This window comes from Homo sapiens, chromosome X (assembly GCF_000001405.40).
Source record: "Homo sapiens chromosome X, GRCh38.p14 Primary Assembly".
In the NCBI taxonomy this organism is placed as follows: domain Eukaryota; kingdom Metazoa; phylum Chordata; class Mammalia; order Primates; family Hominidae; genus Homo; species Homo sapiens.
The window spans coordinates 138,946,685-138,974,562 of NC_000023.11; the positions used below are offsets into that span (position 1 = coordinate 138,946,685).

At 39.1% G+C, this 27,878-nt stretch overlaps 1 protein-coding gene across 3 annotated transcripts in view; it reads right to left on the reverse strand.

Moving 5' to 3' along the window:
• Positions 1 to 27,878, reverse strand: part of FGF13 (fibroblast growth factor 13) — a 590,297-nt gene that overhangs the window by 331,958 nt on the left and 230,461 nt on the right. The gene's annotated exons all lie outside the window — the stretch shown is intronic.

Sequence of the window (27,878 nt, forward strand, 5' to 3'; positions counted from 1 at the left end):
CCATCATCATTTTTAAATGGCCCTCCAATACTCTGAAATATATTTCCTCTGTCACAGGACCCAATACCCACTTTCTCAGCAAATAATCTATCCTTACAAACTGCACCATTCACTAGGTAGAAAGAGCATCCTAAAATGTGTCACAATCATAGAAAATGTTCAGAAAACTGGGATGTTCCTGGCTCTTCTGTCAGTCTCCAACAACTTCCAAAGTTTGGGAACAAAACTGCAAAAGAAACAATGAACATAAATAGACCATTTCAGTACTGTAAAGCAATTTGTTGTAACAAAACAAACAAGAGGTCGATTGCAGAGGCCACAGGACAAATCTAAACTACTTCATTACGCCAGTGTGGCTAAAAGGGCTCTCTGCACCATCATCCCCCAAATTGTTTTTTCAATGTATAATTAATCACTTTGCTGTCATCATTTCCTGATTCTTCAGTTGTTTAAGTTTCCATGGCAAGCTCAAAAACAAAGTGAAGCAATGCTAGTCCAGTATGAGTATATGATAAATGGACATATGAATAAACGATGACTGTGAACATCTAGAAACTCTTTCATATAATTGTTTTTTCATTTTAATGTCACAGCTTAAAATGAGCAAAAAAAAACTTTTTTTTCAATTCCAGATAAAGGATGCATGAGGAAAGGGCATGAATTTATAGTCAGACAGATTTATATTCAATTCTTAACTCCAATACTTACTAGTTTTATGCCTTTGAGCAAATCACTTTAGCCCCTCTGAATCTTAATTTTCTCATATGAAAATGGGGGTGTAAATATTTATTTTTGCTAACTGATTGTGAAGAAAAAATAAAAAATCCTATTACCATGCCTGTCACATGGTAGGTGTTTACCAAGTGGTGACTTCCATGATTCTTTTGCCTCTCCTGTCATGAGGAAGACCTGTGAATTGTGCTTGAGTTAATTTCTCTGTGTATACTACGAGGCTAACGTCTCAGCTATCAGAGCCCAAGACCAAATAACAAACAAATCCATCACCAAGTGATTGCAAAATAATTTGATCCTAATCACAAAACTACGGGGCTGAACTGTCACTACCCAAAGTTCTTATGTTCAAGTTCTAAACCCCAGTACCTCGGAGGGTGACTGTATTTGGAGATAGGCCTTTAAATTACAGTAATTTCAGTAAAATGAGGCCATATGTGGGTGGGGCCCTAATCCATTCTCACTCCTGTCCTTAAAAGAAGAAATTTGGAAACAGATAAATATGTGCACAGAGGAAAGACCATGTGAAGACAAAGGAAGAAGTCAAGCCGGCCATCTACAAGCCAAGGAAAGGGGCCTCAAAAAGAAGCCAACTCTGCCAACAACTTGATCTCAGATTTCTAGCATCAAGAACTGTGAGGTAATATATTTCTGTTGTTTCAGCCATCCAGTCTGTTGTATTTTTGTTATGTCAGCCCATGCAAACTAATACAAGGGCTTACCCACACAGAAGGGGCAGGTGTGTTGTGCTTACTACCTTCCCCACGTTATCCAGGGTAGAGGTCAACACCTATAAACCCTCCAGTATGCTTTGATAAAAAGGGTCTCAGATGATTCTGATGATATGCCTGGAAAAGAAGATGATGAACATAAGGGGATGATGTTACTTGTTGACCTTTTTTAAAAAGATTGGTGGGCATAGAGCCTGGGGATTCAGACAAAGAAAACTCAGGAAGGATAAAGAGCACATGCTAAATCCCTACTTTTGGCCAGGCAGTGTAGGCTGCAAGAGTGAAAAAACAGATTTCCTCTAGAGCTGAGGCCTTTGGGAAGATGCCCTAGAGGAAGAGAGACCAGAATGCCATGTGGTGAACTTTTGGCTTTATCAAAATGTGCAGCCAAGTATAAGCATGTTCCAGTGTCATATACAGGAGCTGTGAAATCAGTAGAGGGCTCTAACATTTCCAGAATTTTTGCTCCATTTTTAGGCATTAAGACAAAATCTACCTTGGATATTACAATTCTGGAATTCAGGGACTAAAAGGAGGCTTCTCCATTTCAATTTTATAAATCAGTTTCCTAGCTTATAGTTGGAACTCCTAGTGTAGACAACTGAATTCCTGAGACTGTCAATGTGAACAATACTTGTCTCTACCCTTGTTAGATAGCACATTTTGTTTTATTGTGTACAAAGCTGATTGCTTACCTATCTATGCTCCCTCCAGCCTCTGAACTGGAAAAAAACAGAACTATATTGTCTTATTACAAAATTATTGCAATCTGAGGCAGAATGGGTGAATTAGAGAGGTAAGGAACAGTCATATTTATTGACACAACAACTCTATTAGGTAGGTATTATTATTTCCATTGTACAGGTGAAGAAATCCAGTCAGTAGCTGGGCCAGGATTACAGCCAAAAATTCTCTGGCACCAAAGTTTGTGATCTTTTTTTCTGCTACAGCATTGCTACAGAGGTGAAGAAGAGAAATTACATCTAGTTGAAGAAATCTGGAAAAGACATTATATTTGAGCTTGACCTTGAAGAAGGATGTAAAAAACATTCCTAAGGCTGCCATAACAAATTACCAGAAACTGGGTAACATAAAACAACAGAAATTTGTTCTCTTACAGTACAGTAGGCTAGACATTTAAAATCAAGCTGTTGTTTTGGCCATTCTTCCTCTGAAGGCTCTAGAGAAGAATCCTTCCTTGCCTCTTCTTAGCTTCTGGTGGTTGCCAACAATCCTTGGTGTTCTTGGCTTGTTGCTGCATCACTTCAATCTCTGCCTCCATCACTACATGGCCTTCTCACCTGTGTGCCCGTGTCTCTGTTATTTCACGTGACTTCTTATAAGTCTTATATAATCCAGTCATTGGATTACAGCCCATTCTAATACAGTATGTTCTCATGTTAACTAATTACATCTGCAAAGACCCTATTTCCAAATAAGATCACATGCTGGTGTTCCAAGCGGATGTGAATTTAGGGGGAATCACTTCAACTCAGTAAAGATGGATATATGTTTAGCAGACAGATATGGGAGGAAAGGCTTCTCAAGATAACAGAATAAATGGAACAGCATGAATAAAGAGGCAGAAACAGTAAAACATTGGAATTATTTGAAAAATAGTAAATGGTTTGCTGTGGCAAGAAAAGAGGTAAGGGTATATAATCAGGTTGAGACCAGAGCACAAAGGGCCTAGAATAATTTGCATTGGGAGAACACCAGTAGATGTAGTTCTAAACACTTGGTTAGAGACTTTGATGCATAAGGCAAAAGGAATACTCAGTTTTTTGTGCTTCTGTCCATGTATTGACTCTGAAAACAGCAGTGGTAGCATTAGCAGAAAACAACTTACATACACAATCCTCTCCCTCCCCATCCCCTACAACAGAAGGATGTTAAAAATGGAAATGTATGGAGCAAGTTCCACATTCTTCTCTATTACTAGAATCATTCAAATATGTGTTTCCATCATTCAGACATGACAAATAGCCAGGGATCCTCCTCTATGATTCAGAAATGCATTGAATCAATGAGTGAGCTGCAAAATGACCTCACATATCAAACAGATATATTCTGTGAGTACCATTCCTGAACACAGAAGAGAAATCTATCAAAAAATAAACCCACAAAACTATCTTTCACCTTTTTAAGGATGTAACTCATTTGAAATTGGATATCTCACTTTAGTTTACTATTACATATATGTCATTACAAATATGAGGTTAACCAATAAGTACCATTTTGAGTGCCTATGATGTTAGCTAGTGCGTTCATATTCTTTGAAGCACTCATATTCTCCAATATTTATGTAAACCTCTTTCGATAGATGATAGGAGTGAGCCTCACAGCAATCAAGTCATATGTCCTTGTATTCAAGTTCTATGTTTGTTTTATGTCAAAGTCCCTGCTCTTTTCACTGTACACTGACTTAAAAACCTCTTCAACATCTGCATTTACCCACATTTAATGAGCACATTGTGTTTCTGGAAAAGCATTACATGTATTCCTTCATATAATTTCAGTTTTCAATGATAAAATTGTCCTTTATGCCAGGGAGTTTTATAATCATATCTGTCATGTCTGTGCTTGGAGATTCAGTTATTAGTATTACTCAAAATAATAAAGATGCGATTTTAGACATACAGAAAGAACTGTTTGTAACTATAGCCTACCCCTTCTTAATGGGTCATCTCTATTTCAATGGTTCTGTTTGAAGTCTAGTAGGGGAAGAAAAGGTAACCCTTCCTATATTTGCTTCTGGCACTAAAAACTCTTGGTGAAACTGGTATAATATGAATGAAAAGTATTGTAAGTACAACAGACACCACTCGTTGAGGGCTTACTATGTGCTATGCCCTGTGTTAAGAAGTGATCATATACTTGCTTATTTAATAATGATCCTGTGACATAAGTTGGTGTTATTATCTCCTTTACACAAATGAGAGAATTGATACACAGAAAGATCAAGTGACTTGCCTAAGGTCACGCTGCTGGGACTGGAGTCAGAAATTGAACAAAGATCTGTTGAACTTCAAAGCTGTCTTGTTGAATTCTATAGTACTCCGCCTCCCATCAGCTTACTCTGATAACAATTATCTCATGGACTAATGCATCCTCTATAACAAGTAAGGCAAAGCCAGATGCATGCTGTAGTCGTTAAAATGTAGGCTCTCGAAGAAAACAAAGAAGAATATCTTCATGACCTTGGAGTTGGCAAATATTTCTTAGACAGGATATAGTATAAACAATAAAACATTGATAAATTAGGCATCATCAAAATTGAAATATTCTGTACATCAAAAGAACAGAAAAAGATTAAGTAAGCCACAGTCAGGAAAAAATATTCAAAAAAAATATACCAGACAAAGAACTTATATTCATAACTCCTATGATACAATAAGAATACAAACAACCCAATTTAAAAAATAGGTAAAAGACTTGAACAGATGCTTCACAAAGCAAGATATATGAGTGGCCAATAGGACATGAAACAATACTTACCATGGAAATATCAGGAAATACACATTAAAACCACAATAATACAGCAACATACCCGCTAGAATGGCTAAAATTTAAAAAACTACATATATCAAGGCTGGCAAAGATGTGGTGCATACACAACTCTCATATATTGCTAGTACCCTGTTAGGTATAGCCTGTTTAGAAATATGCTTTGTAGTTCCTTGAAATGGTAAACATACTTTTTCCATTATCACCCAGGAAATCCACATCTAGGTAAATAAACAAGAGAAATGACAAACCACTGCTCAATGAAATAAAAGAGGATACAAACAAATGGAAGAACATTCCATGCTCATAGGTAGGAAGAATCAATATTGTGAAAATGGCCATACTGCCCAAGGTAATTTATAGATTCAATGCAACCCCCATCAAGCTACCAATGACTTTCTTCACAGAATTGGAAAAAACTACTTTAAAGTCCATATGGAACCAAAAAAGAGCCCGCATTGCCAAGTCAATCCTAAGCCAAAAGAACAAAGCTAGAGGCATCATGCTACCTGACTTCAAACTATACTACAGGGCTACAGCAACCAAAACAGCATGGTACTGGTACCAAAACAGAGATATACACCAACGGAGCAGAACAGAGCCCTCAGAAATAATGCCACATATCTACAACCATCTGATCTTTGACAAACCTGACAAAAACAAGAAATGGGGAAATGATTCCCTATTTAATAAATGGTGCTGGGAAAACTGGCTAGCATATATAGAAAGCTGAAACTGGATCCCTTCCTTACACCTTATACAAAAATTAATTCAAGATGGATTAAAGACTTAAATGTTAGACCTGAAACTATAAAAACTCTAGAAGAAAACCTAGGCAATACCATTCAGGACATAGGCATGGGCAAGGACTTCATGTCTAAAACACCAAAAGCAATGGCAACACAAGCCAAAATTGACAAATGGGATCTAATTAAACTAAAGAGCTTCTGCACAGCAAAAGAAACTACCATCAGAGTGAACAGGCAACCTACAGAATGGGAGAAAATTTTTGCAACCTACTCATCTGACAAAGGGCTAATATCCAGAATCTACATTGAACATAAACAAATTTACAAGAAAAAAACAAACAACCCCATCAACAAGTGGGCGAAGGATATGAACAGACACTTCTCAAAAGAAGACATTTATGCAGCCAAAAGACACATGAAAAAATGCTCATCATCACTGGCCATCAGAGAAATGCAAATCAAAACCACAATGAGATACCACCTCACACCAGTTAGAATGGTGATCATTAAAAAGTCAGGAAACAACAGGTGCTGGAGAGGACGTGGAGAAATAGGAACACTTTTACACTATTGGTGGGACTGTCAACTAGTTCAACCATTGTGGAAGTCATTGTGGTGATTCCTCAGGGATCTAGAACTAGAAATACCATTTGACTCAGCAATCCCATTACGGGGTATATACCCAAAGGATTATAAATCATGCTGCTATAAAGACACATGCACACGTATGTTTATTGCGGCACTATTCACAATAGCAAAGACTTGGAACCAACCCAAATGTCCAACAATGATAGACTGGATTAAGAAAATGTGGCACATAGACACCATGGAATACTATGCAGCCATAAAAAGGGATGAGTTCATGTCCTGTGCAGGGACATGGATGAAGCTGGAAATCATCATTCTGAGCAAACTATCGCAAGGACAGAAAACCAAACACCGCCTGTTCTGACCCATAGGTGGGAATTGAACAATGAGAACACTTGGACACAGGGCAGGGAACATCACACCCCGGGGCCTGTGGTGGGGTGGGTGGAGGGGGGAGGGATAGCATTAGGAGATATACCTAATGTTAAATGACGAGTTGATGGGTGCAGCATACCACTGGCACATGTATACATATGTAACAATCCTGCACGTTGTGCACATGTACCCTAAAACTTAAAGTATAATAATAATAAAAAAAGAAAACATCTGTCTGCAAAAATACCTGAAAACAAACAACCACGGCAACTTTATATATAATAGCCAAAAACTGAAAACAATTCACATGCCCATCAACAGTAGAATGATAAGCAAATTATGATATATTCATACATTGCAACACTACTTAGCAATAAAAAGAAACCACTGATACACATAACACTATGGACAGATCTTAAATCACCATCTGAATGAAAAACAGCTAGATACAAAGGAGTTCATAGTATATAATTCCACTTATATGAAATTCTAAAAAAGACAAAACTAACCAACATGTGGTAAAAAAAAAATAAATAAACATAGAAAAGCCTTTGTCTCTGGAAAGGGTGAGGCAGTTGACTTAAAGAAACAAAGAGAAACTTTCTAGGATGAAGGAAATATCTTTATCTTGTTAGGGATGTGATGTGTGTTATACAGTTATAAACATTTGTCAAAGTTCATAAAATTTTACACCAAATATTGGTGCATTTCATAGTATGTAAATTTAACGAGAGAGAGAGAGAGAGAGAGAGAGAGGAGAGAGCATACAAATTACTGAAGAGCAAGCTTTAAAATCAAACAGACTTGGGTTGAATCCAGGCTTCATCACTTAATTTATTCCATGAATATTTATTTACTGAGTCTCTGTTGTATGACAAACGCTGTTCTTATTGCTGAGGATACAGCACTGACCAAAACGGACAAGTATTACTGCCCACACAAAGTTGTTTAGATAATTTTTTAAGCATAATGAATAAGTCACTGAAAATTTTTAAGACAGAAAGTGATTCAAGTTGCATTTTTTAAATACCATTTTCATCCCTGTTCAACACTAAAAAAATCCCTTACCAGTTGTGTGGCCTTAGGTAAGTCACTTTATCTCTTTAAGTTTTATCTTCTTTGTTTTAAAATTAGGGAAAATATTAATGCCTGTTTCAAATATTGTCATAAGGATTATGGAAATATAGGTAGCAACTGACACTGAGAAGTTACTCAGTATCTATTATTGTGATCTATTGTGAGATAATTCTACTTTATTACATATATTGCTAAACTTCATTACTTAGAATTCAATCATAAAATAGAGAGAATGCATTTTTTAAAATGATCTGAGAGATCAGCTGGGGAAACTAATTAAAAGCAGATCCCTCAACGTTCACCCTATTCTGTATTACATGCCTTGTGGATCTGATATCAAGCCACTAAAGCAAAACAAAATGAATTTTCTGTGGGGAAAAATACCGTCTTTGAGGACCACTAGCAACGTTTTCTTATTTTCTCTGTGTGAAAATCACCATGTTTGAATGATGTAGGAAGTCATAGGCCTCATTAATGGAAAGACACTTTCAAACTATAAGAAGTTCCAAGACTGAAAGCAGGGAGGAAAGGGAGAATCTTTACAACTCCCTGCATCAGTGGTTCCCACACTTGACTGCTGATCAGAATCACCTGGGCGACTGGACATATAGTATAGATCCTGTGACTATCCCCTAGATCTCCTCAATCAGACTGTCTGGGAATTGCAACTGCACATCTACACTTAAAAAATAACTTTTAAGATAATTTTGACACACTCAGGTCCTGAGTCAGCATAAAGAACACGTGCTCAAGCACAAACTCTTCATTGCCTAGTGGGGAAAATTAGTCCATAGAGACGGGAGGGAACTAAATCATGTTTCACACAACAGTTATCGGCTAAACCAATGCTCCTTAACCCATTCCCTGCCATGTTTCCTGTGTTCCCTCCGTTCAACAGGGATACAGATAATTGGTGGTGAATACAACATTCAGAATACAGAGTCTTCTGTGGGGTCCTGATGAAGATAGGCAAAATAGCAAACGTTTGGTAGTCTCTCTTTTAGTCCTCAAAAGACTCTCCTAATGTGGGTATTATTTTCTCCAATTTGATTGATGAAAGCATGGAGGCCCAACAAGAATAAGTTAACTCGACCAAGGTTACACAGGTAGTAAGTGGCAGAGCCATGATTCAAATTCATGTCCGACAGGATACAAAGTGTGTGCTCTTAACCACAACACCACACCACTCTCCTGGTTTGAAACTCTGGCCTGGCAATTTTTAATTAGTTTTTAGTTCCCTGGATAGGCTGAAGTTATCTCTAAGTAGGTCTCTGGTTTGTCAGATGAACTATCTTTGTTTCTGAGGTAGCACAGAGAAATTCCACCCAAAGAAACATCAGTCTTCAACTCAGGAAGTCTAAAGACCACCTTGCCTCTAACCCTAAGAAAGGGGTCTGTGCACTGCCTTTCTACTTTCTTGAGTTTGTTGGTTTGTTTCTTCCTCTCCACTTTGGTACTCTGAAGCAATGTCCTCATCCTGCACCAATACACAAGAAAGAGAGACCAGGAAAGACTAGGCTTGGCTCGCCCATAGTCAGGTCAATAACAGGTAGATACTTCAGCTGAGGCTCAGTTGGGTTTCTTGACAATTACAAAGAAGGTTGGAAGACTGGGATGGAGACAAGCCCAATAATAGCTTAGGTCGTTTTGCCAGTGGCCTGAAGCCAAACAAGCACCATACCAGGGCGAGCACCAGATACTGCTTCTTTAAGAATTAGGGGCAGAGAGTGTGTCTGTGGGAGGCCAACAGGATGGCACTTTGTCGAGGAAAAAGAGGATGCTTTTGACTATGATGTATATTTGAATAAAATACATGTTGTAAAATGGAAACAGTTCACAAAGACACGAGAACCAGCAGAAATAAGACAGAAAGAAGGAAGGCCTTGACGGAGTGACAAAACACAAATCAGCTGTATTTCCTTTGCCTGTTGCTCAAATGGGGGTGATTATTTATAATTGTGGGTTTAAATTACATTTGTCCAGGATCTTTGAGAAGTTACTGTGGTATGAATGTAGGAGGTTTACAATTAGAAGAGAAGTGAGGGTTGGCTGAGACTCTGTCCTAGGGATCAAGGGCATGGGTTCCAGTCTCAGCTGTGCACTGACTGGATGCATGGCCTTGAGTTAGTCAACTCTGCTCTTTTTGGATCAATTTTCTCATATAAAGAAATACAGGAATTAGACCTAGATCATGAGCTTTCAAACTGTGTTCCTCAGAACCTCCTCAGGAACCACTCTGAGCGACGTAGGGGTGTGCATGACTCAGTCTCTCCCTTCTTTTTACCCACCCTTTTCAACCAGGGATTCTCTGGTTAAAATAGTTTTCAAAAACCAGTGAATTCGATGATCTGTAGGGTTGTCCAAGCACTGAAATTCTGTGGTCTTCACATACTATGGACATGCATCCAAGACTTGGCTAAACCCTTGAGACTCCTGTAACTGGATGATAAATTATATATGTAAAAGTACACATTTCTGGAAGAAGTGTTCATAGCTTTCGTCAGATTATCAAGAGTCAATGATCCCTCCTAAAAGGGATTTCAAAAGTCCCCATATGCTCTAAATCAATTACACTGTAATCAAGATTCAGTACACGTTAGGACATTAGTATATGCCTACGGGGAAAGAAGAGAAGAAAGGAAAAGGAAAAAAGAGCGAGAGAAAGATCAGCCCACATCTAACCTATCAAATCAGAATTAGAGAAATCATCAAAAGCCACACACAGTCTCTTCAAACAGGAGACTGGAAGTATTGTCCAAGCTAATTAGACCATGTTGTAGTGAGAAGAAACAATTAATATATCCATGACACAGTATCAAAACATATAAATGATTTCATGGTATTCAGAGAAGCTTGGCACAGCTGCTGGGTGCATTTTGTGAAAAGATGGATGAAGAATGAAGAGACACAGGAATATATTTACTTTTCATCTCCAAATCAGACATATGTGCAAATCAAGATGAAGAAAGCAGATGGGAGTTAAAAGTTCAGACATCAGAAGCCAGGTAGCGTGATGCCTCCAGCTTTGTTCTTTTGGCTTAGGATTGTCTTGGCAATGCAGGCTCTTTTTTGGTTCCATACGAACTTTAGTTTTTTCCAATTCTGTGAAGAAAGTCATTGGTAGCTTGATGGGGATGGCATTGAATCTATAAATTACCTTGGGCAGTATGGCCATTTTCACGATATTGATTCTTCCTATCCATGAGCATGGAATGTTCTTCCATTTGTTTGTGTCTTCTTTTATTTCATTGAGCAGGGGTTTGTAGTTCTCCTTGAAGAGGTCCTTCACATCCCTTGTAAATAGGATTCCTAGGTATTTTATTCTCTTTGAAGCAATTGTGAATAGGAGTTCACTCATGATTTGGCTCTCTGTCTGTTATAAGAATGCTTGTGTGTGTATAAGAATGCTTGTGATGTTTGCACATTGATTTTGTATTCTGAGACTTTGCTGAAGTTGCTTATCAGCTTAAGGAGATTTTGTGCTGAGACGATGGGGTTTTCTAAATATCCAATCATGTCATCTGCAAACAGGGACAATTTGACTTCCTCTTTTCCTAACTGAATATGCTTTATTTCTTTCTCCTGCCTGATTGCCCTGGCCAGAACTTCCAACACTATGTTGAATAGGAGTGGTGAGAGAAGGCCTCCCTGCCTTGTGCCAGTTTTCAAAGGGAATGCTTCCAGTTTTTGCCCATTCAGTATGATATTGGCTGTGGGTTTGTCATAAATAGCTCTTATTATTTTGAGATACGTCCCATTGATACCTAGTTTATTGAGAGTTTTTAGCAGGAAGGGCTGTTGAATTTTGTCAAAGGCCTTTTCTGCATCGATTGAGATAATCATGTGGTTTTTGTCTTTGGTTCTGTTTATATGATGGACTACGTTTATTGATTTGGGTATGTTGAACCAGCCTTGCATCCCAGGGATGAAGCCAACTTGATTGTGGTGGATGAGCTTTTTGATGTGCTGCTGGATTCAGTTTGCCAGGATTTTATTGAGGATTTTTGCATCGATGTTCATCAGGGATATTGGTTTAAATTCTCTTTGTTGTGTCTCTGCCAGGCTTTGGTATCAGGATTATGCTGGCCTCATAAAAAGAGTTAGGGAGGATTCCTTCTTTTTCTATTGATTGGAATAGTTTCAGAAGGAATGGTATCAGCTCCTCCATGTACCTCTGGTAGAATTCAGCTGTGAATCCGTCTGGTCCTGGACTTTTTTTAGTTGGTAGGCTATTAATTAGTGCCTCAATTTCAGAGCCTGTTATTGGTCTATTCAAGGATTCAACTTCTTCCTGGTTTAGTCTTGGGAGGGTGTATGTGTCCAGGAATTTATCCATTTCTTCTAGATTTTCTAGTTTATTTGTGTAGAGGTGTTTATAGTATTCTCTGATGGTAGTTTGTATTTCTGTGGGATCGGTGGTGATATCCCCTTTATCATTTTTTATTGCGACTATTTGATTCTTCTCTCTTTTCCTCTTTATTAGTCTTGCTAGTGATCTATCCGTTTTGTTGATCTTTTCAAAAACCCAGCTCCTGGATTCACTGATTTTTTGAAAGGATTTTTGTGTCTCTATCTCCTTCAGTTCTGCTCTGATCTTAGTAATTTCTTGCCTTCTGCTAGCTTTTAAATGTGTTTGCTCTTGCTTCTCTAGCTCTTTTAATTGTGATGTTAGGGTGTCGATTTTAGATCTTTCCTGCTTTCTCTTGTGGGCATTTAGTGCTCTAAATTTCCCTCTACACACTGTTTTAAATGTGTCCCAGAGATTCTGGCATGTTGTGTCCTTGTTCTCACTGGTTCGAAGCACATCTTTATTTCTGCCTTCATTTCGTTATGTACCCAGGAGTCATTCAGGAGCAGGTTGTTCAGATTCCACGTAGTTGTGCGGTTTTGAGTGAGTTTCTTAATTCTGAGTTCTAATTTGATTGCACTAGGATCTGAGAGACAGTTTGTTATTATTTGTGTTCTTTTACATTTGCTGAGGAGTGCTTTACTTCTAACTATGTGGTCAATTTTGGAATAAATGTGATGTGGTGCTGAGAACAATGTATATTCTGTTGATTTGGGGTGGAGAGTTCTATAGCTGTCTATTAGGTCTGGTTGGTGCAGAGCTGAGTTCACGTCCTGGATATTCTTGTTAATCTTCTGTCTCTGTGATGTGTCTAATGTTGACAGTGGGGTGTTAAAGTCTCCCATTATTATTGTGTGGGAGTCTAAGTCTCTTTGTAAGTCTCTAAGGACTTGCTTTATGAATCTGGGTGCTCCTATATTGGGTGCATATATATTTAGGATAGTTAGCTCTTCTTGTTGAATTGATCCCTTTACTATTATGTAATGGCCTTCTTTGTCTCTTTTGATCTTTGTTGGTTTAAAGTCTGTTTTATCAGAGACTAGAATTGCAACCCCTGCTTTTTTTTGTTTTCCATTTGCTTGGTAGATCTTCCTCCATCCTTTTATTTTGAGCCTATGTGTGTCTCTGCACATGAAATGGGTCTCCTGAATACAGCACACTGATGAGTCTTGATTCTTTATCCAATTTGCCAGTCTGTGTCTTTTAATTGGGGCATTTAGCCCATTTACATTTAAGGTTAATATTGTTATGTGTGAATTTGATCCTGTCATTTTGATGTTAGCTGCTTATTTTGCTCGTTAGTTGATGCAGTTTCTTCCTAGCTTCAATGGTCTTTACAATTCGGCATGTTTTTGCAGTGGCTGGTACTGGTTGTTCCTTTCCATGTTTAGTGCTTCCTTCAGGAGCTCTTGTAAGGCAGGCCTGGTGGTGACAAAATCTCTCAGCATTTGCTTGTCTGTAAAGGATTTTATTTCTCCATCACTTATGAAACTTAGTTTGGCTGGATATGAAATTCTGGGTTGAAAATTCTTTTCTTTAAGAATGTTGAATATTGGCCCCCACTCTCTTCTGTCTTGAGAGTTTCTGCTGAGAGACCCGCTGTTAGTCTGATGGGCTTCCCTTTGTGGGTAACCCAACCTTTCTCTCTGGCTGCCCTTAACATTTTTTCCTTCATTTCAACCTTGGTGAAGCTGACAGTTATGTGTCTTGGGGTTGCTCTTCTTGAAGAGTATCTTTGTATTTCCTGAATTTGAATGTTGGCCTGCCTTGCTAGGTTGGGGAAGTTCTCTTGGATAATATCCTGAAGAGTGTTTTCCAACTTCGTTCCATTCTCCCCGTCACTTTCAGGTACACCAATCAAACGTAGATTTGGTATTTTCGATAGTCCCATATTTCTTGGAGGCTTTGTTTGTTTCGTTTTACTCTTTTTTCTCTAAACTTCTCTTCTCACTTCATTTCATTCATTTGATCTTCAATCACTGATACCCTTTCTTCCACTTAATCGAATCAGCTACTGAAGCTTGTGCATGCATCAAATAGTTCTCGTGCCATAGTTTTCAACTCCATCAGGTCATTTAAGGTCTTCTCTATGCTGTTTATTCTAGTTAGCCATTTGTCTAACCTTTTTTCAAGGTTTTTAGCTTCCTGGCGATGAGTTCGAACATCCTCCTTTAGCTCGGAGAAGTTTGTTATTACCGATCTTCTGAAGCCTACTTCTGTCAACTCGTCAAGGTCATTCTCCGTGCAGCTCTGTTCCATTGCTGGTGAGGAGCTGCAATCCTTTGGATGAGAAGAGGTGCTCGGTTTTTAGAATTTTCAGCTTTTCTGCTCTGGTTTCTCCCCATCTCTGTGGTTTTATCTACCTTTGGTCTTTGATGATGGTGACCTACAGATGGGGTTTTGGTGTGGATGTACTTTTTGTTGATGTTAATGCTATTCCTTTCTGTTTGTTAGTTTTCCTTCTAACAGTCAGGACCCTCAGCTGTAGGTCTGTTGGAGTTTGCTGGAGGTCCACTCCAGACCCTGTTTGCCTAGGTATCACCAGCGGAGGCTGCAGAACAGCAAATACTGCAGAACACGATCCTTCCTCTGGTAGCTTTGTCTCTGAGGGGCACCTACTGGGAGGTGTCTCTCAGTTAGGCTACTCGGGGGTCAAGGACCCACTTGAGGAGGCAGTCTGTCTCTTCTCTGATCTCAAACTCTGTGCTTGGAGAACCACTGCTCTCTTCAAAGCTGTCAGACAGGGACGTTAAAGTCTGCAGAAGTTTCTGCCGCCTTTTGTTCAGCTATGCCCTGCCATATACTACAAGGCTACAGTAAGCAAAACAGCATGGTACTGGTACCAAAACAGAGATATAGACCAATGGAACAGAACAGAGCCCTCAGAAATAATACCACACGTCTACAAACATCTGATCCTTGAAAAACCTGACAAAAACAAGAAATGGGGAAATGATTCCCTATTTAATAAATGGTTCTGGGAAAACTGGCTAGCCACAGGTAGAAAGCTGAAACTGGATCCCTTCCTTACACCTTATACAAAAATTAATTCAAGATGGATTAAAGACTTAAATGTCAGACCTAAAAACCATAAAAACCCTAGAAGAAAACCTAGGCATTACCATTCAGGACATAGGCATGGGCAAGGACTTCATGTCTAAAACACCAAAAGCAATGGCAACACAAGCCAAAATTGACAAATGGGATCTAATTAAACTAAAGAGCTTCTGCACAGCAAAAGAAACTACCATCAGAGTGAATAGGCAACCAACAGAATGGGAGAAAATGTTTGCAATCTACCCATTTGAAAAAGGGTTAATATGCAGAATCTACAAAGAACTTAAACAAATTTACAAGAATAAAACAAACAACCCCATCAAAAAGTGGGCGAAGGATATGAACAGACTCTTCTCAAAAGAAGACATTTATGCAGCCAACAGACACATGAAAAAATGCTCATCATCACTGGTCCTCAGAGAAATGCAAATCAAAACTACAGTGAGATACCAGCTTACACCAGTTAGAATGGTGATCATTAAAAAGTCAGGAAACAACAGGTGCTGGAGAGGATGTGGAGAAATAGGAACACTTTTACACTGTTGGTGGAACTGTAAACTGGTTCAACCATTGTGGGAATCAGTGTGGCGATTCCTCAAGGATCTAGAACTAGAAACACCATTTGACCCAGCCATCCCATTACTGGGTATATATCCAAAGGATTATAAATCATGCTATCATAAAGACACATGCACACATATGTTTACTGCAGCACTATTCACAATAGCAAAGACTTGGAACCAAGCCAAATGTCCAACAATGATAGACTGGATTAAGAAAATGTGGCACATATACACCAAGGAATACTATGCAGCCATAAAAACGGATGAGTTCATGTCATTTGTAGGGACATGGATGAAGCTGGAAACCATCATTCTGAGCAAACTATCTCAAGGACAGAAAACCAAACACCGCCATGTTTTCACTCATAGGTGGGAATTGAACAATGAGAACACTTGGACACAGGGTGGGGAACATCACACACCGGGGCCTGTGATGGGGTTGTGGGACGGGGAGGGATAGCATTAGGAGAAATACCTAGTGTAAATGATGAGTTAATGGGTGCAGCACACCAACATGGCACATGTATACATACGTAACAAACCTGCACGTTGTGCACATGTACCCAAGAACTTAAAGTATAATAAAAAACAAAAAAGAAAAAAAAAAGTGCAGCCATCAGAAATAGAATCCCCATTTGACTTTCTTGGTACATAGTAAGGACCTCAAGAAACACTTGCTGATGGATTAGGAGACTGTCCCAAATCACCCACTGGTAGGAAAATTAAACTCTTTCAGGTTCCTAGAGTCTTTTCTCATGAGTCAGAAAAACCCTTATCTAACTTCTTGAGCATCTGTTAGAACGCCACTCCTGGCAAGACCCTCTGACCATTCCCACAGGTGGACAGCTCTCAGCATTCTGCAGTTGCAGCAGTTTGAGGAACATATCACCTGGGAAAAAGTTCATGAGTGTCCCTTCACACCTGCTCTAGAGGTTACTGTTTGCTTTGCATTGACTAGCCAATGTCCACAGAAGTGAATCCTGAAGGGATGTGGCCTATGTGACTCCCCTGGCTTGGCTTAGGACTTGCCTCTGACTTTCTCTTTGACCCCACCTTGCCACAGCAACACATGCCCCACATAAACCTTCTTGGTACTTGCCACCTACTAACTTGGGCTGTCAGACTTATTTGCTATGCAGTTATCTGACCTCCCCTATTATATTGCATATGCCATGAGAGCAAGGAGAACATAAACCAAACACAATCTTTTTCGGTTTTAGACAGTCTCACTATGTTGCCCAGGCTAGTCTTGAATTCCTGGGCTCAAGAAGTACTTCCGCCTCAGCCTACTGAGTAGCAAAATATAATCTTCATGGTTAGTGTTTTGCTTACTGAAAGTCCTATTTAATTTGTCTTCTTTGTCCTATTTCTAAGCATCCTATTTGAATGTTTAAAAAAGCAGTGTAGTTAACTGGAAAATTATTTCTATTCTACTATCTAATAGCTTTTAGTGTGGTCCCAATCAGCTAGCTATGCCTCAGTTTCATCATCTGAAAAATGGGGACAGTAATACTGCACTCATATGTACACTTAACAAATACTTGTTGAGCAGCTACACTCAGCCAGGCAGTGGGCTAGGAGACTGACTTGAACTGTTCAAATAATAGGCAACTGTAAATTTTTCTTCCATTAAGTCTTCAGTGTATAAAGAGACTTAAACATTAAGCAAACAATGTAGGAGTTGATAAGAAAGTCCCAAGGATACTACAGAGACATACAGCAGCAGAAAAATCAGTTTAGGCAAGTCTGTAGAGAAAGAAGGATTCACTGAGAGAAGAGGCCTACAACAGAAACAGGTTGAGGGAGAGTTTTCCAAGCAGAGGGAAAGCCAATGCAAATAAAGGATCTGTGGCCTGAGGCAACTTAATTCTAAATCAGAAATCAGCAAACAATGGCTTATGGTACAAATCTGACCCCCCACTATTTTTCTATGTCCTGCAAGCTAAAAATAGTGGCTAGGTCTTCCAGGGATCACAGAAATTTTGGTAGAGTAAAAGTCTATTTGAAATCTAGGATTTTTAAAATATCCAGAGGGGGTGATCAGGTGTCTTAGAGATAAGGGGCACAGTGGATATTTATCCTTTCTTCTTCCATAGGACATTTCAGACATCAAACAGTATGTAATTCCAGCTGTCTTAGTCGACTTGTGCTGCTATAAAGGAATACCCAAAGCTGGGTAATTTGTAAAGAAAATAGGTTTATTTGGCTCACAGTTCTGCAGCTGTACAAGAAGCGTAGTGCCAGCATCTGATTCTGGCAAGGACTGCAGGAAGTTTCCACTCATGGTGGAAGGTGAAGGGAAGCTGGTGTATCACATGGTAAGAGAGGGAGCCAGAGAGACGGGAGGGGTGCCAGGCTCCTTTCAACAACCAGCTCTTGCAGGTAGCTAATAGAGTGAGAACTCACTAATTTATGGGGCTGGGGGGTACCACAAAGCCATTCATGAGAGATCCACTCCCATGGCCCAAACATGTCCCACCAGGCCTCGCCTCCAACACTGAGGATCACATTTCAACATGAGATTTGGAGGGAACAAACATCCAAACTACATCACCACCTATTCCAGGAGACAAGTACAATAGGTAGCTTGGAATGGGCATAAACTTCCCGAGAAGAGGCCAGCCAGCTGTTCCATACACACCTGACCCTTAACCTGATGAATTCCCAGGGCAGGTTAAGATCCTTGCCCTGCTGATGAAAGAATGATGAAAGAACAAAAGGAGGACATGCTGTTTCCTTGGCCTAAATGGCCTCCCCAGGATATGCCTCTCACCTCCACTTCCTTTACCCCTTCAGTTCGTTTAGATGTCAACTCCCTTACTCATCTCTCAGGCTGTGTTAGGGGCCCCTGCTCTGGGCTCCTACACTTTCTATCATGTGGTATTGCCATCTATTCACCTACAACCTTGCCTCCTTTAGAGCACTGACTGAATCCATCTTGTGCACCACTGTATCCCCAATGCTTAGCACAGTGCTTGACACAAAGGATGGACTTGAAAAATGTTTGCTAAATTAATGAAGGAATAAGTGAATGGATATCAGGGTATCTGGTACACTGACAAGGTAATGAACATCCAGGTGCCCGTCTATATTCTCATTTAAGTCCAATGTTATTGAGCAAGTGGTTTCTTGCATTCTTTCACCAAGCATCATTCAAATGGGCCTGTCATTAAAAATTTCACTATGAGCAGGGAGGTTCCAGAATGATTCAAGAGACTCAGGACTGGCTACACAATTTGTGGGGCCCAGTACAAAATAAAAAAATGAAATGTCCCTTGTTCCAAAATTATGAATGTCAAGATGGATACAACAGAGCATTGAACCAATCACAGGATCCTTCCATGTGTGGTGGCCTGTGCGACTACACAGGCCAAACACCCATGATGCTGGCCCTGAATAAAATCCAGAAGTCCCTTTGATATCTATAGCCCATGAAAGGGAGTGGTAAAGAAAATGTTTTTATTTTTGATGTTTTGATGAATGAAAGCTTTGGTTTTTATTTTTGTTTTACATTTTGATATATCAAATCTATCAGTCATTTTCTTTGTGATTTCTGCTTTGGCTTTAAATGCCCCTGTGATCGTTAATACTGAGTGTCAACTTCATTGGATTAAAGGATGCAAAGTATTGTTCCTGGGTGTGTCCATGAGGGTGTTGCTAAAGGAGATTAACATTTGAGTGAGTGGACTGGGAGAAGCAGACCCACTCATGGAGAATCTCTTCTAGGGCAGTGCAGAAGGGAAATGTGGGGTCGGAGCCTCCCCCCACCCCCACAGAGTTCCCACTGGGGTATTGCCTAGGGGAGCTGTGAGAAGAGGGCTACTGTCCTTCAGACCCCAGAATGGTAGATCCACAGACAGCTTGTACTGTGCACGTGGAAAAGCCACAGACACTCAATGCCAGCTGTGAAAGCAGCCAGGGCAGGGGGCTGTACCCTGCAAAGCCACAGGGACAGAGCTGCCCAAGGATGTAGGAGCCCACCTCTTGTATCAGCATAACCTGGATGTGAGATGAGAGACTAAGGAGATCATTTCAGAGCTTTAAGATTTGACTGCCCCACTGGATTTCGAACTTGTGTGGAGCCTGTAGGCCCTTTGTTTTGGCCAATTTCTCCCATTTGGAAGGGGTGTATTTACCCAATGCCTGTATGCCCATTGTAACTGGAAGTAAGTAACTTGCTTTTGATTTTACAGGCTCATAGGCAGAAAGGACTTGCCTTGTCTCAGATAAGACTTTGGACTTGGAGTTTTGGTTAATGCTAGAATGGATTACGACTCTGGGGGACTGTTGGAAGGGCATGATTGTGTTTTGAAATGTGAGGACATGAGATCTGGGAGTGGCCAGGGGTGAAATGATATGGTTTGGCTCTGTGCTCCCACCCAAATCTCACCTTGAATTGTAATAATCTTCTTCTGTCAAGGGAGGGACAAAGTGGAGATAACTGAATCATGGGGGGTGGTTTCCCCCATACTACTCTTGTGATAGCCAAGTTCTCATGAGATCTGACATTTTTATAAGGGGCTTCCCCCTTTGCTCAGCAGTCATCATTCTCTCTCCTGTTGCCCTGTGAAGAGGTGCCTTCCACCATGATTTTAAGTTTCCTGAGGTCTCCCCAGGCACGTGGAACTGTGAGTCAATTAAACCTCTTTTCTTTATAAATTATCCAGTCTTGGGTATGTCCTTATAGCAGCCTGAGAACAGACTAATACAACCCCCCAAAATTGCTCCCTGCCCCCCAAAATTGTTAAATATTCCACATTATTCTGATATTTACTATTTCATTTTCTTTTATATTTAACTCTTTAATACAGCAGGAATTCACTTTGTCTATGTTGTAGGATAAGAATTTAATTAGATTATGTCCCTTAATGGGCAGAAAATTAACGAATACCATTTGTTGAAGACTCCATCCCTTACCCTTTGCGGTTCTTCCTGATTTTCTTGGCTTACAAAAAATCATTGCACACTAAGCTCAATGCACACAATTTAAACGTAAATTTCTCATCTTCTAAAAAGGAGAGCCATTAAGAAAAAACAATGTTTTGTGACACAGAAGTCACAGGTGGCAGGTCTTCCAATGTTACAGAAACCTTAGGGAAGTAAAGTAAAACTGGACAAGGAGGCTACAGCAAAGAAAGGCAGTGGATAAAGGGAAAGAGGCCTAAAGAAGATGGAAAGTCCTGCGGGGAGGGTGGATTAAGACACCAGGGAAATCAACATCCATGACATCTGGGTGGAGAGACTCAAGCCACAATTTTGAATACAAGCCATTTGATCCAACTGCATAATGCCTTCAGAATCTATCCCTTGGTAAAGGTCAAGACAAAATACAGTAAACAGAATATAAGGCTATGATGGGATTTATTTATAGCCACAGGAGAATACAAGGCTGTACCTTGTGGAGGAGATGAAATGGAAACTAAGGCAGTCTATAACTGATCATCACTCAATTAGTATGTTTGTAAAGTTTCCTGCAAGCAGGAAACTAAAATGAGAAGAGGCAAACTGGAAACAGTACAGTGAGCAGTCATTCTGGTTCCTTCCTTTTCCAGACGACAAAACTAAAGCTCCCCACAGTGAAAATGCTTCCCCTAATTCGGCCAGCTACTAGGTTGCAGAACCCAAACTCGACTTCATATCTCCTAACTCTGCTCTTTCTATTTCACCTTGATGCCCCTCAGGAACATGATTAAAATAACATAAAAATATACCTCTTGCAAGTTCTGACAATTATTACATAGCAAGAAGATATGAAGGCAAAGATTAATTCACCTGTGTGTGATGGAGATTTCATTTAATTTGTTAGTTTAATATTAACTTGTAGGATAATGATTAATAAACCAAACCGCAAAGGGAAATATTCATTTCTCCCATACTTTTAAGGAAATATAAGTTGCAAAATTTAGTGGCACTTTCTTGACTATGCAATCCTACTGGGTCATAATACAAAACTAGTTATACCTTTTCCAAACCAAGGAGAAATGAAACTAAATTGACTTTTCTCCCTCCCTCACTTTCTCCCTTCTTCTCCCCATCCCTCTCTCCTTTTTATTTCCTTTTTTCTGTCTTCCTCCTTTCTTCTTCCCTGCCTTCCAGGCTTTCATGGACTCAAACATCTTTTCTGTTTCCTGACTAAGTGCTACAACAGTGCCAAGTACTGTGAAGACAGAGTAGAAAAGATATAGTCCTGTTAAATAGAGAATGCCACGAGGGAGGGTTCTGACATGCAAATAATGAGAAACAACAGCAAAGCAGAAGCTATAGTGAAACTCTGAAAAGATACAGAGAAAAGATGAAAGCAGGCTGAAATCTCTCTTAGATGTCATACTTGCAAGCTGATTTTCTGAAAGAGGACTAGGCAATTTTTAGAGAAATGGGGAGTGAGAAAATTACTTCAGGCAGAGGAAATGGCATATGTAAAGACAAAAAAGTTGTAGAAATAATGTATCCATTTAGTTTGTTTCTCTCACAGAATGTAAAGTCTATGAAGAAAGGGCCTTTTGTCTGTATTGCTCACAGCAATATACCCAGTATCTAAACAAGTACCTGGCACATAAATATCCACTGAATGAGTAAATGCCTTATTCTGGAGCTATACATATTTTGGATTACTAGAAAATAAATACAGTTGATGAGAGTTGAAACTGGAGGGAGAGGGGCAAATTAGGCTGACCTTTGTATGTCACGCACAGGAGTTTGGGCTTTATTCTGCACAGACAATGGAGAGTGACTGAAAAACTCGAAAAACAGAAAAGTGACACAGTCAACTGTGTGTCAGAAGACTTATTCTGTAGTATAGGTAGTAGGAAAGATGGAGGAGAGGGATTGATTGGAGGTAAGGAATTCTGTTAAGTTATTGCTGTAACCTTGAGATAACTGGAGCATGAACTGAGGTAGTGGCAGTGGGGATGGGGATACATTTATGGAGCAAACTCAAGGGAACTTTGGGATAGGACATATCTAGAGAGATGGGTGACAGAGAATGAAACATCTAGGCTGGTTTCTAGGTTTTGGATTTATCTGGTGGTATCACTTACAAAAATTTGGAATACACAGGGCAAAGCAGTTTGTGGAGAAGAATCGAATAGGACATAAAATTGCAATATAGCTTGTATAATGTCTGAAAAATAAAATAAGGTTGTGGGGTGTCACATTTATGAAATTTCTCATAAGATAGTATGGTGCATTTTTCTTACTAGTGTTATAGTTTTATAAGAACACTGGCTCTGAATCCAAAACGGAATGTATTAGGAATGTGTTTTAATTAGCACACCACTACAGCAAATTAGAGAGTTGAGAGCTTGTCATTGCCTCCCGTGTATAACAGGCAGCAAGAAACTAAATTTAAAAGTCTAACACCAATGGAAATCCATAAAGCCACCTGACTCAATGACTATATCCATACAGCCATTGTCGTTTGTTGGCAGGCAAGTAGCTCAAAGCAAATCAATCAAATCTGTTTTTGATTGGCTGACTCACCTACCATAATAGCTGTGCATGAAAATGGCAACAATCTTAGACTAAAATAAGTGAAGCTATAGAGAATTGAGTGTGCGTGTCTGTGTGTGTGCATGTACACACCCCGGATGCTATGCTGCATGTACATGCCATCTACAGCTAACGTTATAATGCCAAAATGAAGAAAAGGAAAGGAAATTCACACTTTGTGAACACAGTAAATATGTTTTGGGCACTTTACATCCACCACGCCTATTTATTCCTCATGGTAGGCTTACTGATCAGAAGGCAGATATAATCTATTAAATTTTTAGTTTCAGGAGTGCATGAATGATGTCTGTTTTATTCGCCATTGCAGCTACAGTGCCTAACACAATGTCTGGCACATGGTTGGCACTCAATAAGTATTTTTAAAAATAATTAAGCGGAGGAAGAGGAGGGCGGGCATCAAGACCTATTTTACAGTGAGTCACGCAGCTACTAAGGGACATAGCTGGGACTGATATGCACTTTGTTCTCAGACTCTATGCTATGTCTGCACTGCCATATTGTTCTCCACAATGACATAGGAGGGGGAGAAAGAAGAAAAACAATATGTCACTCTGTTTGGAGATTGGTAGGCTACAGAAACAGTATCAATTCAGACGCTCCTAAAAACAGCCTTGCTGAAAAGCTTTTGACCCAGAGCGCGTCAGGATGCTTCTAGTCCAATTGTTTCCAATTATACCTAATTCACCTACAGGAGAAATTTATCTTCTCACAAAGCACCAGGGGGACCCACGATATTTGCTAGTGACTAACAAAAAATGCATTTAGGAGTTAATACATCACTTCCAAACTGGTCTTCGTCTGCTTGAGTTTCCAACAAGCCTTGCAGATTCTCCTAAATTCCCACTTATTCTCCATACTTTTTTCAGCAACCAAATCCTATTTTCGAATATGACAAGAAATAAAATGATTTTAGGCACTAGAGTTGAGAATTTATAGATAAATGTTACACTTCGATGCTTAATTCAAATAACCACACAACGGTAGCACTTAGTCTTTTAATCTTTCAGCAAACTCATTGGCAACTTGAGTTAAGAGTAAAATTCAAAAACCTGGTCTCCGCAGTTAACAAAGATTAAGTGGGTTCATGATGAACTGTATTTCCTAAACTTCAGAAGTTGAGTGTTTCTAAGTTATGAAAAAGAATATATGCAAATCTGGGGAGCACTGACCAAAGTGGCCCACAACACCAAGGGTTCCCTGGTGAGAAATAGGACAGGGTATTGCCAGGGGCCTGGAGTCAAAAATAGATTGAATTCCTGGCTCCTCTACCTATTAGCTGTATGGCTTTTGGCAAGTTAACTATCCTTTCTAGATCTCAGTTTCCTCTGTTAAATGGGAACAGTATCTACCTCAAAGGAATACTGTTAGAATTAAATATAATGTTACATGTAAAGCAGTTAACTCAGTATCATGTACATAGTAAGTGCTAATAATTGCTAGGGTTTTTGTTTTTCAGTTTTATTTTGTTTTTAACGGACAAATAATAATTGCACATATTTATGTAAAACTGTCTACAGATTCTCCAATTTAAAAATTTGGTTGTCTTTTTTAATTGAGTTGTAATAGTTTTTCATAAGTCCCTTGTCAGACATATGGTAAACAAATATACTTTTTTCATTGTGTGGGATTTCTTTTTACTTTTGTTTTATTTTTAAGGTATATTTTCTTTTTATTTGTCATATAATAATTGTACATGTGTATTGGGTACAGTGTGATGCTTTGATACATACATATATATTGTGTAAAAGTCAAATCAGGGTCAATAGTATGTTCATCACCTCAAACAGGTGATTTCTTTGTGGTATGAACTCAAAATCCGCTATTTTGAAGTATACAATACATTATTGTTCACTGAGCACTCTGCTGCGCAATAGAACACAAACATTTTATTACTTCTAACTGTAACTTCATACCCATCGATCAACCTCTCCCCAGTAGTGGTTACCCAAGTCTTGGTAACCACTGTTGTACTCTCTACTTCTATGAGATCAATTTTTTTAGATTCCACATGTAAGTGAGATCACATCATATTTGCCCTTCTGCGCCTGGCTTATTTCACTTAACATAATGTCCTCTAGGTTCATCCATGTCATAAATGACAGAATTTTATCTTTTTATGGCTCACTAGTATTCTATTGTGTGTGTGTGTGTGTGTGTGTATATCACATTTTTCTCTATTCATCCATTGATGGACATTTAAGTGGATTCCATATCTTGTCTATTGTGAATAGTGCTGCAATGAACATGGGAGTGCAGATATCTCTTCAACGTGCTTATTTCAATTCCTTTGGATATATACCTAGTCATGGGATTGTTGGATCATATGGTAGTTCTATTTTTTTTTTTTTGAGAAGTTTCCATACTGTTGACTTATACTAATTTACATTACGACCAATAGTTTATAAGGATTTCCCTTTCTACACATCTTCACCAGAATTTTTTTTTTTTTTTTTTGAATCAGAGTCTTGCTTTGTCGCCCAGGCTGGAGTGCAGTGGCGCGACCTCGGCTCACTACAAGCTCTGCCTCCCGGGTTCACGCCATTCTCCTGCCTCAGCCTTCCGAGTAGCTGGGACTACAGGCGCCGGCCACCATGCCCGGCTAATTTTTTCGTATTTTTAGTACACACGGGGTTTCACCATGTTAGCCAGGATGGTCTCGATCTCCTGACCTCGCAATCCACCTGCCTCAGCCTCCCAAAGTGCTGGGATTACAGGTGTGAGCCACCGTGCCGGGCCCTCACCATCATTTTTTATTTTTTGTCTTTTTCATAATAGCCATTTTAATGGGCGTGAGATGATATTTCATTGTAGTTTTGATTTGCATTTACGTGATGATTAGCGATATCGAGCATTTTTTTAAATGCCTGCTAGCCACTTGTATGTCTTCTTTTGAGAAAGTCTATTTAGATCTTTTGTCCACTTTTTAAATCAAGTTTTATTTTTGCTATTGAGTTGAGTTTCTTATAGATCCTGAATAATTTACTTCATTATTTTTTTTTTCTAGGTAGAAGCCTTGTCAGTTTTGTTTAGTTTTTCAAAAAGCTCTTAATTTTGTTGAGCTTTATAATTTATTTAGGACCTTTTTGTTAGTTTTGCTTTGATATTTAGTATTTCTTTTCTTCTACTCATTTTGGGTTTAGTTTGCTTTTGTTTCTCTAGCTCCTTGAGGTGTAATGTTAGGCTGTTTACTTCAAATATTTCTACTTTTTAATGCAAGCATTTATTGCTATAAAATTCTCTCTTGGAGCTGCCTTTGCTGTATTCCATAGGCTTTTGTATGTTGTGTTTCCATTTTCATTTGTCTCAAGAAATATTTAAATTTCTTCATTGACTCATTGGTTGTTCAGGAATATGTTGTTTAATTTCTATGTATTTGTACAATTTCCAGAGCTTCTCCTGTTATTGATTTCTAATTTCATTCCATTGTGGTCAGAAAATATAGTTAATATGATTTTGGTTTTTTAAAATATTTTTAAAACTTGCTTGGCAGCCTAATATATGACCTATCCTGGAGAATGTTCCCTGTGCTGTTAAGAATGTATATTCTGGTGCTGTTAAATAGAATGTTCTGTAAATGTCTGTTAGGTCCATTTAATCTGGAATGTGGTTTAACTCTAATGTTTGTTTGTTGATTTTCTGTCTAGATGATCTATCCATCGCTGAAAGTGAGGTGTTTAAGTCCCTTACTATTATATTGCAGTCTATCTTCCCTTTTAGGTCTATTAATTTTTGCTTGATACAGTTTGATGCTCTGATGTTGGGTGCATGTATATTTGCAATTATTGTATCTTCTTTCTGTATTCCCCTTTATCATTATATAATTGCCTTCCTGGTCTCTTTTCACAGTTTTTGACTTAAAGTTTATCTTGTATCATATGAGTTTAGCTACTCATGTTCTATTTTGTTTTCTATTTGCAAAAAATATCTTTTCTCCTTCCTTTACTTTCAGTCTACGCATGTTCTTACAGGCGAACTTGAGTCTCTTGTAGGCAGTATATAGTTGGGAGGCAATTAGGATTAGATAAGGTCATCAGGGTGGAGCCCCCATGATATGACTGGTAGCTTTATAAGAAGAAGAGAGATCTGAGTTGAAGCACTCTTGACCTCTCAACATGTAATGTCCTCTGCCATGTTGTGATACACCAAAAAGGCCCTTACCAAATGACATAACCATGCCCTTGGACTTCCCAGCACAGAAAACTCTAATAAATATATTGCTATTGTTTATAAATTACCCAGTCTGCAGCATTCTGTTATAGCAGCAGAAAACAAAATAAGACAAGGGGTCAGAGGCCAGGAGTCAGGTGAATGCAGAATTGGATAATAAGGAACAGAGCAAATTTGGGGAAAATAAAGGAAACTAAGGAAACTATAATGTTAACAGAACTGGGTTACCTGTGACTCTTCACTATTGGGTGCTTGGTACATGAGGAGTTGATTAAAAGGATATAAGCAGGAAATATAGTGGAGCTCTCTGGCTGGTGTGATTTTATTCATTTTATAATACAGCCTACAAGGATCCCCTGACCCTGGAAACAAGGGCTCAGGCAAGACTGCCACCCTGCAGAAGACTCATCTCTACAGTTCAGCCAAGTAGCTACTATGTGACCTGATTGTTACCTTTCAACAGCCTTTTCACTGA